This window comes from Homo sapiens, chromosome 21 (assembly GCF_000001405.40).
Source record: "Homo sapiens chromosome 21, GRCh38.p14 Primary Assembly".
NCBI lineage: Eukaryota > Metazoa > Chordata > Mammalia > Primates > Hominidae > Homo > Homo sapiens.
This window is the reverse complement of record NC_000021.9, coordinates 39,461,263-39,475,072: the sequence shown is the minus strand read 5'-3', so window position 1 is coordinate 39,475,072 and position 13,810 is coordinate 39,461,263. Positions and strand designations below refer to the sequence as shown.

General features: G+C 40.3%; 2 protein-coding genes across 8 annotated transcripts in view; both read right to left on the bottom strand.

Annotated features, from left to right (window-relative positions):
* The window catches only part of GET1-SH3BGR (GET1-SH3BGR readthrough), a 135,179-nt gene that overhangs the window by 40,432 nt on the left and 80,937 nt on the right, over window positions 1-13,810 (bottom strand). For all 3 annotated transcript variants that reach the window (NR_146618.2, NM_001317744.2, NM_001350300.2), the window contains one exon: window positions 12,513-12,698. Coding sequence is in view for 2 of the 3 variants with exons in the window: in NM_001317744.2 (NP_001304673.1) it covers window positions 12,513-12,698 (186 nt within the window). In the remaining variant the exon portion in view is untranslated. The remainder of the gene's footprint in view (window positions 1-12,512; window positions 12,699-13,810) is intronic.
* SH3BGR (SH3 domain binding glutamate rich protein) overlaps window positions 1-13,810 on the bottom strand; it is a 69,642-nt gene that overhangs the window by 40,434 nt on the left and 15,398 nt on the right. For 4 of the 5 annotated variants that reach the window (NM_001317742.1, NM_001001713.1, NM_007341.3 and 1 more), the window contains exon 2: window positions 12,513-12,698. In NM_001317742.1, the coding sequence (NP_001304671.1) occupies window positions 12,513-12,599 (87 nt within the window). In that variant the 5' untranslated portion in view covers window positions 12,600-12,698. The remainder of the gene's footprint in view (window positions 1-12,512; window positions 12,699-13,810) is intronic. The other variant, NM_001317741.1, reaches the window with a different exon arrangement.

The following is a 13,810-nucleotide window of genomic DNA, read 5'->3' as shown; positions in this document are numbered from 1 at the left end:
AAACTGATCTTTTGTATTTCTTAGTCCTTAAGTTAGGAGCTCACACAAAAAGTCATCCCAGTTTGCTTTATCAAAGATGACTAACCTCCAGAGTTAAGAAATCTAACCATGAACTTTACATTTGTTTTTATACACTTTCATTGTGCTTGTATACCACAGCAAGAGCACACACACACACACACCCCTACCCATGCTCAGGAATTGCTGACAAGACCCAAATATACACAGTAAATGGCTTTTCCAAGTTTCACACCACTAGCTGGTTTACTTATAATCTGGCCCTATGCATATGGTCCCTGATCAGCTGAGACTGAGATGATACAGGCTGTCCATACTGTGATTAAAGTATCTCTAAGGGCCCAGATGCATCTCAGGCCCTCCCAATACGAACAGGCACAAGACCATGGGGGACATAGAGGGCGACTGTTTTGGCAAAATAGGAACAACTGGAGTGATTGGAAACTTGGTAGTGGATTGAAATCTGATGCTCAATGAAGCTACCACCCCATCCAGATCCTACCAGGGCCAGTCCTTCACCAGGCAGGTCCAGCCCTAAACCACCTTCCCAGTAATGCAGCTGTCAATAGCTTAGAAGAGTTTCAATTTTTATAATTAAAACATAAACGATATTCCCCCAGACTACTTTATTACTGCCAATCTTCATCATCAGGGCCTTGATGCAATTTCAACAGTGTTGCAAAAAGGCTCACAAAGTCACAGGTGTTTGTCCTACAGGGCAACACACAAACCAACTTAGTTGTTCTTTGCCTACCCTACTCTTAGTGTATGTTCAAAAAGCTTAAAACCAGCCAGGCGTGGTGGCTCATGCCTCTAATCTCAGCACTTCGGGAGGCCAAGGTGGGAGGATTCCTTGAACATGAGTTCAAGACTAGCCTGGGCAACATGGTGAGACCCTGTCTCTACAAAAAATACAAAAATTAGCCGGGCACGGTGGCACACACCTGTGGTCCCAGCTACTTGGGAGGCTGAGGTGGGAGGATCACTTGAGCCTGGCAGATCAAGGCTGCAGTGAGCTGTGATTGTGCCACTACACTCTAGCCTGGGAAACAGAGCAACACCCTGACTCACAAAAAAACCCACAAAATCTTAACACCAAATACAGGTCACAGCTGTTGAGAAAAAAGTATTATGTATTCCTGTGTGTTACTGTTTTTTGTTTTTTTTTTTGAGACAGAGTCTCACTGTGTCTCCCAGGCTGGAGTACAGTGGTGCAATCTCGGTTCACTGCAACCTCTGCCTCCTGGGTTCAAGCGATTCTCCTGCCTCAGCCTCCTGAGTAGCTGGGATTACAGGTGCATGCCATCATGCCCAGCTAATTTTTGTATTTTTAGTAGAGACGGGGTTTCACCATGTTGGCCAGGCTGGTCTCAAACTCCTGACCCCAGATGATCCACCCACCTCAGCCTCCCAAAGTGCTGGGATTACAGGCGTGAGCCACCATGCCCAGCCTCCTGTGTGTTACTCTTATTCAAAGCTTTATTGTTTTCCTATCCATTGCCTCAAGTCTCTCAGTGATTAATTTTATTCTTTTATACTGAATACATGGTTGGAAGCTGCCTCAAATCTTGGTTGAAAGGAATATAACATCATGAGTAAGTGCAGGAACTTTGGTATCAGAAATTCTGATTGATTCCCAGAGTACACACTTACTAATCATTGTTAAAAGATTACATGAGATAACACGTTAATAGTAGTAGCAGTAAGTTGGTGAAATGTAATAAAGTAAATCTATGCTATTTCCCAGAAATTCCATATATAAAGTTCTGAAAACTTCTTTAGTTGGCCAACTCTAGATTTCGAGGCAAGAAAGGTTTTATTATAGTTGAGTGAACTAGTCTTTTGCTTCAATTTAAGACCAAATACCTTCTTCAGAATTTCAGAAGGCTGAAGAACAATTCATCATTATCTTTGACTTGATGCTACCAAATATATGTAGAAAATAATGAACATAAAACAGGTTTTCAACTCCCAGTTCTGCTACTATGGCAGATTAGAGGCCCTAAAAGTTGTCTCAAAGAAAATTTTTAACCCAATTAAGAAAAAAAAAAATTTAAATACACTGCTGACCTGGCATAAAAGAGTCCAGCCAGTGAGAGCGTGAATCCTGAGAATAAGCACACACCAAAGCCACCGATCATGCTGAGAGTTTCTGACACACACATGACACCTTTACCATCACTTTGACACTGAAGAGGAAAAAGGGGGATGTAGATAAAGCCCGGAGCCTCGTCAAGCTGGGGAGTTTCATAAAGCACACACACCAGAACTTCAGAGGGTTCTGCCTTCAAAGTAAATATGAATGAGAAAATACCCCACCAGGCAGAACAGAATGGAAGGAAACTTCCCTGATTCAACTTTGCTTCTGGGTGAAGGGGAAAATATTCTCCTCTGAGAATTTATAACCACAAGTAGAATTCATGAGAGGTTGCAGTTCAAATTCCCATGCCATGTGTGATCCTAAAAAATCTTAAAAGGAAATCTGAGTTTAAGATGTGTCTAGGTTTGATACAGTTCTAAGGAAACTAGCAGAAATAAACCCCAGGCCTCAAACAGTATCCGCTGCTGTGATTTGAATGTCTCCGCCAAAAAGCTTGTGTTGGAAACTTAATCCCCAATGCAACAGTGTTGGGAGGTGGGGCCTAAGGGGAGCTGTTGAGGCCATAAGGGGACCACCCTCATGAACTGATTGATGACATTTATAAAAAGGCTTGAGGCTGTGAGTTTGGGCTCTCCCTTTCTCTTGCTCCTGGGATACCTTCAGCCATGTTTGATGCAGCCAGAAAGCCCTCATCAAATGCTGCCCCTCGATCTTGGACTTTCCACCTCCAGAGCTATGAGCCAAATAAACTTCTATTGTTTATAAACTACCCAGTCTGTGGTATTCTGTTTTAGCAGCACAAAACAGACTAAGATAGCCACTAATAAAGTTTTTAAAAATGAGCAGTTTGAAGCCAAAAGTTACAATATAAATAAGGGAATAAAAAGAAAACATAGTGAGAGCATGAAGAAATAACAGAAGGTGGAATTAAAAATCAGAATCAGATATTGGAATTATCAGGCAAAGAATATAAAACAGCTATATTTAATATATTTAGTGAAATAAAAGAGAAACTCGAAAACAGAATAAATACCTAGAGAGAACAATCAAGCAAATTTAGAAAGGAACCAAAAAGAACTCCTGAAAATAAAAAGATATAATAGCGGAATTGTAAAACCCAATATGTGGATTAAACAAACACACGTGAAGAGAAAATTAGCTAATTGGAAGATGCAGTCAAAGAAATCATCCAGGCTGGGTGTGGTGGCTCATGCCTATAATCCCAGCACTTTAAGAGTCAGAGAAGGGAGGATTGTTTGAGCCCAGGAGTTCAAGACCAGCCTGGGCAACATAGCAAGACTCTGTCTCTATTTTTAAAAATAATAAATAAATAAACAAACAAACAAACAAACAACAAATAATCTAGAGAGGAAAAAAGATGAAAAATGTGGAGGAAATATTATTGTATGAAAACAGTGTGAGAAGAGCTAACAGATGTCTTATAGGAGCTCTTGGAGAAGCAAATACAGATTATAGGGGAAAACCTAAACTCAAGCATACAATTGCTAAACATTTTTTTTTTGTTAATTTAATTGTTTGAGACAAGGTCTCACTATGCTGCCCAAGCTGGTCTCCAACACCTGGGCTCAAGCAATCCTCCCACCTCGGCCTCCCAAAGTGCTAGGATTATAGGCGTGCAACATCTCGCCTGGCCAATTACTAATAATTTTCTAGACTTATTGAAAGATAACAACCCTTAGTCTCAGGAAGCCCAATCAATAATTCTAAAGTAGATAAATAAAAATAACTCTAAACCTAGACACATCGTAGAGAAATATTATTAAAAGCAACCAGAGAGAGGGGAAGAAGAAGACGAAGAGAAAGAGGAAGAAGAAAAGGAGACAGAATGGACAGAAGAAGAAAGGGAGGAAAAGAAAAAGGAAAAAACAAAGTTTCCCAATAAAAGAATAGTGATGAGACTGACAGCTGACTTCTCAATAGCAACTTAGAGGCCAGGTGAAAGTAAAATAATAATTTCAATGTGTTTAGAAAAAATAAACATCAGCCCAGAATTCCAGACTCAGTAAAACTATTTTTTCAAGCATGAAGGTGAAAGAAAGACATTGTCTGGAAAATACCTTTTTTTAAACAAACAAAAACTTAGAGAAGTTACCACCAAGAGAACTTCACTTAAAGAAACTTATAGGATGTATTCAGGAAGAAGAAAATAATTCCAGATGGAATATCTCAGATTCAAGAAGTAAAGATAAAATTAATAGTAAATATGTGGGTAAATCTAAATCTGAACAAACATTGATTGTTCAACCAACAAATAGAAATGCCTAATTTGTGAAGCAGGATGAGAGGCCAACTGAAATACTGAAAAACCAAACACATGTAAACAGAGTGATTAGGGTGAAAGTGTCTAAAGGCCCTTTTAATGTTTGGGACAGACTGGGTGTGGTGGCTCACATCTGTCATCCCAGCACTTTGGGAGGCCAAGGTGGGCGGATCATCTGAGTTCAGGAGTTCAAGACCAGCCTGGCCAACATGGTGAACCCCTATCTCTACTAAAAATACCAAAAAAATTAGCAGGGCATGGTGGTGCGTGCCTGTAATCCCAGCTACTCAGGAGGCTGAGGCAGGAGAATTGCTTGAACCTGGGAGGTGGAGGCTGCAGTGAGCCAAGACTGCACGACTGCACTCCAGCCTGGGTGACAGAACCAGACTCTGGCTTTAAAAAAAAAAAAAGTTTGGGACAAAAGTAAGGTTACTGATTATCTTTAACTAATTTAAGTATGTATGTTAAAATAGCTAAGTTAACCACTAAAAGGATAGATTATTTGAATTGAGTAAAGGGGAAAATAAAATTAGAAAAAAGAGACTTTAGTAAAATTACATCAAGAAAGGATTAAAAAAACTGCAAAACTGAGAAAAATTAAAAGCATATAATAAAGTAGAAGAAACTCCAAATGTACTCATAATTTCAATACATGGGTCAAAAAAGAAAGGTATAAATATCTTAACATTTATACTTAACAATAAAGAAAATACTGCAGGCTGGGCATGGCGGCTCACGTCCATAATCCCTGCACTTTGGGAGGCCAAGGCTGGTGGATCACCTGAGGTCAGGAGTCCAAGACCAACCTGGCCAACATGATGACACCCTGTCTCTACTAAAAATACAAAAAATTAACCGGGCGTGGTGGCGCCTGTAATCCCAGCTACTCAGGAAGCCTGAGGCAGAAGAATCAATCACTTGAACTCGGGAGGCAGAGGTTGCAATGAGCTGAGATCGGGCCACTGCACTCCAGCCTGGGCAACAAGAGCAAAACTCCGTCTCAAAAAATAATAATAATAAATAAAATTAAATTTAAAAAAAAGAAAATACTGCATATCAAAATATATGGAATGAACTGACAGTACTCAGTGAGAAATTTCTAGCCTTAAATATTGACATTAGAGAAGAAAAAAAGGTTAAAAGTGAGCTAAGCATCTAACTGAACATTAAGGTAAGGGGAGGAAAAAAAAGTGTATAGAAGGAAAAAATGATACAGGCAAGGGCAGAAATTTTAAAAATAAGAGAAAAATTAGCTATAAAGATATAAGTATAGAGAGATCAGAAAGAATCAATAAGCCAAAAGACCAAAAACAAACAAACGAACAAAAAACTATGAACAACATAAACTTAAAAAAAAAAATCAGAGAAGACACAACAGAAACATTAGGAATAAAGAGAAGACATAACTACCTATTTTAAACAGGTCTTAAGAATATCTTATTTAAAACTTGGGGGGATGTTGATAATGGGGGAGGCTCTGCATGTGTGGGAACAGGGGGTACATGGGAAATTTCTGTACCTTCCTCTTACTTTTGAAAAAAAATGTTATACTAGACTTTAAAACTTAAAAACAAGCTCAAGGCTGCCATGGGCCATGATGGCACCACTGCACTCCAGCCTGGGCAACAGACAAAGACCCTGATTCAAAAAAAAAAAAAAAACTAGACATCTTAGAATTTATAGAAACAGAATTATGAAAACCAACTTATGAAAAAGTAGAAAGCCTAAACAGTCCATTCATTAAGGAAATTGAAACATTTCCCACAGAGAAGAACCCAAGCCTAGCAAGCTTCCCAGATGAACAAGAGGCTCTCTAAAAGAAAATTATATTTGTTTGGGAATAAGGAATTGCAATGGGAACACATGTGTCATAGTAAACTATGTGCATATTCAGGGAGGTAAAAGAAGACAAAGGTTTTTAAATGAAAAATAAGGTCTAGGCATAGTGATTCACACCAGTAATCCCAGCACGTTGGGGGGTCAAGGCAGGAGGATTGCTTGAGCCCAGGAATTCAAGACCAGCCTCAGCAGCATAGGGAGATGCCATCTCTACAAAAAATACAAAATTTAGCTAGGTGTGGTGCTGCACACCTATAGTCCCAGCTATTCAGGAGGCTGAGGCAAGAGGATCGATCGAGTACAGGAGGTTGAGGCTGCAGTGAGCCATGATCGTGCCACTGCACTCCAGCCTGGGTGACAAAGCAAGACCCTTTCTTTCCAATGACTATCACTGGTGCAGAGGGGAAGGGATGGGATCAGGGAGAGAGGCACACAGAGGGCTTCCACATTTCTGGTAATAGTATACTGTCCTTCTTAAACTGGATAGTGCATACAATGGTTGCTCACTGTATCACTCCTTTTTAAATTATGTATTTCTTATCACATACGGCATATTTCAGAATAAATTTTAGGAACATAACATAGTTTGTTCAGTAACATCGATATGTTGAGAAGCCCTCTCCCCACCCTAACTGGGTTTGCATCCTGTGTTTCCTTACAGCCCTGAGTACCCGGAGACACTCATACCTCTGCTAAATGGGCACCTCTGTGCTGAACGATCTAGGTCTTCTTTGTTTGTGTTCAGTCAGGCCCAGGCTATCTTGGTCCCAGGCAGGCACTCCGGCCCTTACCTGGGCTAAAATGCACAGATGCCAACTTGTCATCAAGAGATGTGTCTGCTCTTTCCAGTTCACATTCCTCTGTCAGGCGGGGAGCCTGGCCTCAACTGTGCCTGGCTTCCAGTGTGGTGTCTCCTTTCTCAATCTAACAGTTGTCTGCCCTGGCTCTCAGGATAATATCTTCATTTGCTCTGCATAGAGTAGCAGAAGTTCAAACTGGCAGGGGCAGGAAGGCACTGAGGACTACCCTTGATGTCCAATCCCCTCACTGCCCAATGAAATCTACTGCTTGCCTCTGGGGTCTCCTTCCACCTGCTGCCATCATCAGGCATGGCATATGACTGACCAAGAATCTTCAGAAGCCAGGGAGACCACTTAAATAATAGTTATATACATTTTAATCATGTAGAAAGAGACATTGACTATCTAGACTAACATTATTTTGAGCCTGCATATCCTTCAGAATTTTTGAGTCTCCTTTTAAAATCTGAGCATACAAATAAAAATAATCATTTTTACCTACTTTCTGGAAACAAAGCCCTCTTCTTCATGAATATACTTTTGTAAGTGTGTCCATAGACCACAGAAAAGCAAATTAAGCAAAGCTTCTCATAAGGTAAACTACAAATACTTCTCTGAAGGTAGAAATAAAAAGAATAGAAACAGTTAAACATGAAATAATTTGTATATTTATTTCATTAGATCCATATTTGTTATAGGAAAATACATCTTAAAAATAGCAGTCATTATTTGGAAAACCTTTTCTTTCTCCTCCGCAATTAAAATGAAAAAAAAATTACTAGATCACAGCAAACTGGGATAAGAGATGACTTTGAAATCTTCTTTTTTATAGCAGAAAATAACTGTAGTAATTTTATCCTAGGAGTTAACATTGGTGGACACCTACATTAATCTTGTGTCTACTGTAACTCACTTAAATTTAAAAGGATGATTAAAATAAGCAAACTAAGACATTTAAAATCTTATTTTCCCTGGAAAAGTACTAGAAGGAAACATGAGATGATTCTTCTGATAATTTCTGAGCACAGAAAGCTTTCCTTAACAAAAATCTGAATTCAGGAATCACAAAGAGAAAAGATTTAATATATTTGGCTACACAAAAAAAATTTAAGTTCTGCATTGCAAAAAAAAAATCCCTTTTGAAAGTCAAAAGACAAGTAAGAAATGTGGAGGAAATATTTGCAACATCTATGGTGATATGGTTTGGCTGTGTCCCCACCCAAATTTCATCTTGAATTGTAGTTCCCATAATCTGTCTCATAGAAGGGACCCAGTCAGAGGTAACTGAATTATGGGAGTGGTTCCCTCATGCTGTTCTCATGATAGTGAGTGAGTTCTCATGAGATCTGATGGTTTTATAAGGGGCTTTTCCCCATCTTCACTCTGCACTTCTCTCTGCTGTGGTCATGTGAAGAAGGGCATGCTTCCTTCCCATTCCACCATGATTGTAAGTTTCCTGAGGCCTTTCCAGCCATGCTGAACTGTGAGTCAATTAAACCTCTTTCCTTTATAAATTATCCAGTCCTGGGTACGTCTTTATTAGCAGCGTGAGAATGAAGTAATACATATGGTCAAAGGGCTACTTTCTTTCATATGCAAAGACTCTTACAAACCAGTAAACATTACCTATAACCCAATTGGAAAACAGCAAAGAATATGCATAGGTAAATCATAGAAAAAGCACAGATAATTTATAAATGTAGTTTTAAAAGATGTTCAATTTACCCATAAAGAAAGAAATCCAGGTAGAAGCAATGAGAATTCATGTTTTACCAAACAGATTGTCAAAGTTGCAAAAGTATGCTATGCACAGTGTTGTCAAAGTCACGGAGAACTAGCCACTCTCAAACTCAGCTGGTGGAAATGTAAACTAGTACAACTGCAACAGAGGAGCATTTGCCAATATTGATCAAAATGTGAGACGCGTATGTACTTTAACTCAGATGTCTTCCAGGAATTTATCCTACATATATATATACACACTCATACCGGATACAAAGATCTGTTATGTATAAAGATAATTCCTACAGCACTGTTTGTAAGGGGGAGAGGCTGAAAACAACCTGAATGTTTTTCATTAGAGGACCAAGCCAAAAAATTGTCACACACAATGGAACATTTTGCAGACATTAAAATATGGGGCAGCCAGGCACAGCAGCTCACACCTATAATCCCAACACTACGGGAGGCAAGATGGGTGCATCACTTGAAGCCAGGAGTGTGAGACCAGCCTGGGAAATACAGTGAGACCCTATCTCTACAAAAAATAAAAAACATTAGCGAGGTGTGGTGGTGCACACCTGTAGTCCCAGCTACTGAGGAGTCTGACACAGGAGGATCGCTTGAGCTCAGGAGTTTGAGGCTGCAGTGAGCTATGATTGCGCCACTGCACTCCAACCTGGGTGACACAGTGAGACCCTATCATAAAATTAAAACAAATAAAATAAGCATGGGCAGCTATACTGTGAACTCTGAGATGCAGTTATTAAGTCAAGAAAACAAAGTCGTATATGATACACTCTGATTTTTTAAATGACATTCAGTTGTAAATCTACATAGAAAATTTCTGCAAACCCAAACACGAAATTGCCAACACTGGCTGCCTCAGAGTAGGACGAGCTACAGAATTCAAAAGAGCCAGTGCAAGATGAAAACATGAGGCCCTTCCTTCAAAAATGGTTGAGAATTTCAAGACAGCAATAGGAGAACATTAAACAAGTACAGAGCCCTCCTGTGGATGGGGTCCTGTGTGGTATCCCAGATCACAGGCCCACAGAGCCAGCCTGGCTCAGGGGAAGGTAGCCAGAATGACAGGGGTCAGAAATTGGAGGGGATACCAGGCACAGTGGCTCATGCCTGTAATCCCAATACTTTGGGAGGCCAGGAGTTTGCCTGAGGCCAGGTGTTCAAGACCAGCCTGGGCAACACAGTGAGACCCCTTTGTCACTACAAAAAATTTTAAAAATTAAAAATTACCCAGGCATGATTGCACCACTGCACTCCAGCCTGGGCAACACAGCAAGACTCTCTCTCTTAAATAAATAAATAATAAATAGAAATGGAGGGGAATAATTTTCACTAGATACCATTTTGAATCACCTTAATTTTTCAGTGGGCATATATATTAATTTTTCAATTATATAATAGAAATGATTTTATAAGAAATAAAATTCCTCATCACCACCATCCCCCCTAAAAAAATATTATCCCTTTCCTTATCCAACAAGAGCCACAATTTTGAGAAATGTGGGTCAGGTAAAGGAAGGTGGGGAAGATGTGGGTAGGACAGGAGCGAGGGGTGAGGAGGAATTTGAACTGGACCACATGTTCACCTTAATATATGCTACCACATTAAGATTGTTTGAAAATACTTCCACACCCACAGGACTTTTGGTTAAGCCTCTGAAGAATGCTAACACAACCACATAAGTTTGTATAGCCCTCTGCTGGACTGAACAGTGTCTCCCATAAATCCATGTCAGCCTGGAACCCCAGAAAGTGACTTTATTTGGGCCGGGCGCGGTGGCTTACACCTGTAATCCCAGCACTTTGGGAGGCCAAGGCAGGTGGATCACCTGAGGTCAGGAGTTCGAGACCAGCCCAGCCAATGTGGTGAAACCTTGTCTCTACTAAAACTATAAAAATTAGCCAGGCGTAGTGGCACACGCCTGTAATCTCAGCTACTCAAGAGGCTGAGGCAGGAGAATCACTTGAACCCAGGAGGTAGAGGTTGCAGTGAGCTGATACTGCACTGCTGCACTCCAGCCTGGGAGACAAGAGAGAAACTCCATCTCAAAAAAAAAGAGGGTTACCTTATTTGGAAATAGGATCTTTGTAGTTGTAATTAGTTAAGATGGGGCCATACTGGATGAGGGCGGGCCCTATTCCCATGACTGCTGTCCTTATGAGAAGGCCATGTGAACACAGAGAGACACACTCCATGTGAGGATGAGGGCAGAGATCAGAGACACTTCCATAAGCCAAGGAGTGCTAAGAACCGGTGGCAAGCTTTAGAAGCTAGGAAAGAAGCATAGAACGAATTCTCCCTCAGAGCCTTCAGAAGGAACCAACCCTGCACCCACATCTTGATTTCGAACTTCCAGTCTCCAGATCTGTGAAAGAATAAATTTCTGTTGTTTTTAGCCACCGTGTGTGTGGTAGTTTGATACAGCAACCCTAGGAAGCTAATACAAGCCCCCAACAACTACACAATTCATCCTTCAAATGAGAGGTCCGCAAACTTTTCTGTGAACAAGCAGATAGTAAATCTTCTTGGCTTTGTGGATCATATGGCCTCTGCTGCATCTATTCAAATCTGCCATGGTGCTAAATCAGCCACAGACAATAGGTAAATGAATGAGTGTGGACATTCATTTATAAATTTATAAAACAGACAGTGGCAGTAAACAATTTTTTAAAAAAGTAACCTAAAGAACCAGCAGTTCTGTGCAGCAAGAGAAGAGGTCAGATAAGATTCCTCCACCTGGCTCCAGCAGTCCCAGGCGCATGGCGCTGAGACATTCCCTCTACTTCACACAGCTCTCATTTCCTCATCTGCAAAAACCCTAGATGGCTTAGATGACCTCTAAGTTAATTTTCAGTTCTCATATTCTGAAGTCCTTTTTTAAAAATATTTCTTTCCAACGACTTGATTTATTAAGTATGATCTATAAACTCTGGGGAAAAAAAGTGATCTCATGGTGAAATGAACTATCAAATGTATAAAACAAAATTGTTGTTATAACCAAAATGCCCAGAACAGTTTTCAAACTAATTAAAGTTACACAAATGTATCTTGTATCTATAGTAAGACTTTATTTCTACAAATCAATTTTATAAAAGTGAAAACTTGCTGGGCACCGTGGCTCACACCTGTAGTCCCAGCACTTTGGGAGGCCAAGGCAGGAGGATCACTTGAGGCCAGGAGTTCCAGAGCAGCCTGGGCAACATAGGGAGACCCTGTCTCTACAAAAAATTTAGAAATTAGCTGGGTGGAGTACTGCACTCCTGCAGTCCCAGCTACTCAAGAGGCTGAAGTGAGAGGATCGCTTGAGCTCAAGAGAAAGAGGCTGCAGTGAGCCATGATTGCACCACTACACTCCAGCCTGGGTGACAGAGAAAACTTACCATGTTCCTCTGCAGATACACGTGTGTGCACACTGCAAGGCTGAACAGAATTCCTAGCTAAATGTATGTATTTTCTGAACATGTGACCTCAATTCTTCAAAATAAAACAAAGAACCTGAAATAATCCCCAAAACTTCTGAATCATCATGATATTGTTTCTGTCCTTTTCTAAATCTTAAATATTGATTATTCATAATGGATCTACCATCCAGCTATTGGATGGCAGAAATAGACCATGACCTGACAGTTGTGAATAATTTCAAATGCTGACTCAAACTTAATCTGCTTTAGAAAATTTCTAATAAACACACACACAGCAGGATTTTTAATAGAAGCACATACTCACCCCACAGTACTGCTCCTCATTGAAGATCTGGGGAGGCAAAGGAATCCCATTTTGAGGTTTTTTCTCTCCAGGAACATTCTCTCTCATCCACCTCCTGTTGTCTTCATCTCCAGCAATATCTAATTCCTTAAAGTCGATTTTATTCGCTTCCAAAAAACCCACTACTTCTTGCTGTTTCTTCCTAATCTGGTCAAGAGTAGAGAAATATTAGGCTGTTTATGAAAAATATTTTGCTTACATTTACAAAAATTAAATCCTTCCTCTAGTTATACTATACAACACAAATAATTTTGTTAAGTATTCAAACAAGGAAAATAATAGAATCACACCTCTTTGTTATAAAGGGTCAACCAAATGACTATTTAAATTCTGAAATTTTAGTATCATCAATGCTTAAATTATTATATAATCAGGCTGGGTGCGATGGCTCACACCTGTAATCCCAGCACTTTGGGAGGCCAAGGCAGGTGGATCGCTTGAGGTCAGAGGTTCGACACCAGCTTGACCAACGTGGTGAAACCTTGTCTCTACTAAAAATACAAAAATTAGCCAAGCATGGTAGCACACGCCTGTAATCCCAGCTACTTGAGAGGCTGAGGCAGGAGAATCACTTGAGCCTGGGAGGTGGAGGTTGCAGTGAGCCGAGATCATGCCACTGCAATCCAGCCTGGGTGACAGAGCAAGATTCCATCCCAAAAAAATATAAATAAATAAAATAATTAATTAATTATTGTATAATCAACTGTTAAAACTAAATTTGGGCTTTAGAAGACTCCATAGGAGTCCTAGGTAATGAACTGCAACCTAGCTTAGTACATAAACAAACTGAAAACCTAACTAGAAATTTGCCTTTGTAACCAGAGCTGAGTTTCAGTCATTGACAGCAGACAAGCTTCAGCCAATCACAGGCGGCCAACTGTTCAAACCACTTTCAAATAAGGCAAATACTGAGTTATAACCCAACCTAGCTGTCTGTACCTCACATCCTTTTTCTGAATGTTATTTCCTTTTCTCTGGCGATAAATATAACCTGCACGTGTGGTGGGGCAGAGCTTTGTGAACCATTTTTTGGTCTGACTGCTGCCAGATTCTGGAATCACAAAAGCCAATTAAGATCTACAAACAGCCAAGCACAGTGGCTCACACCTATAGTCCCAGCACTTTAGGAGGCCAAGGTGGACAGATCACCTGAGGTCAGGAGTTCAAGACCAGCCTGACCAACATGGAGAAACCCCATCTCTACTAAAAATACAAAATTAGCCAGGCGTGGTGGCGCATGCCTTGTAATCCCAGCTACT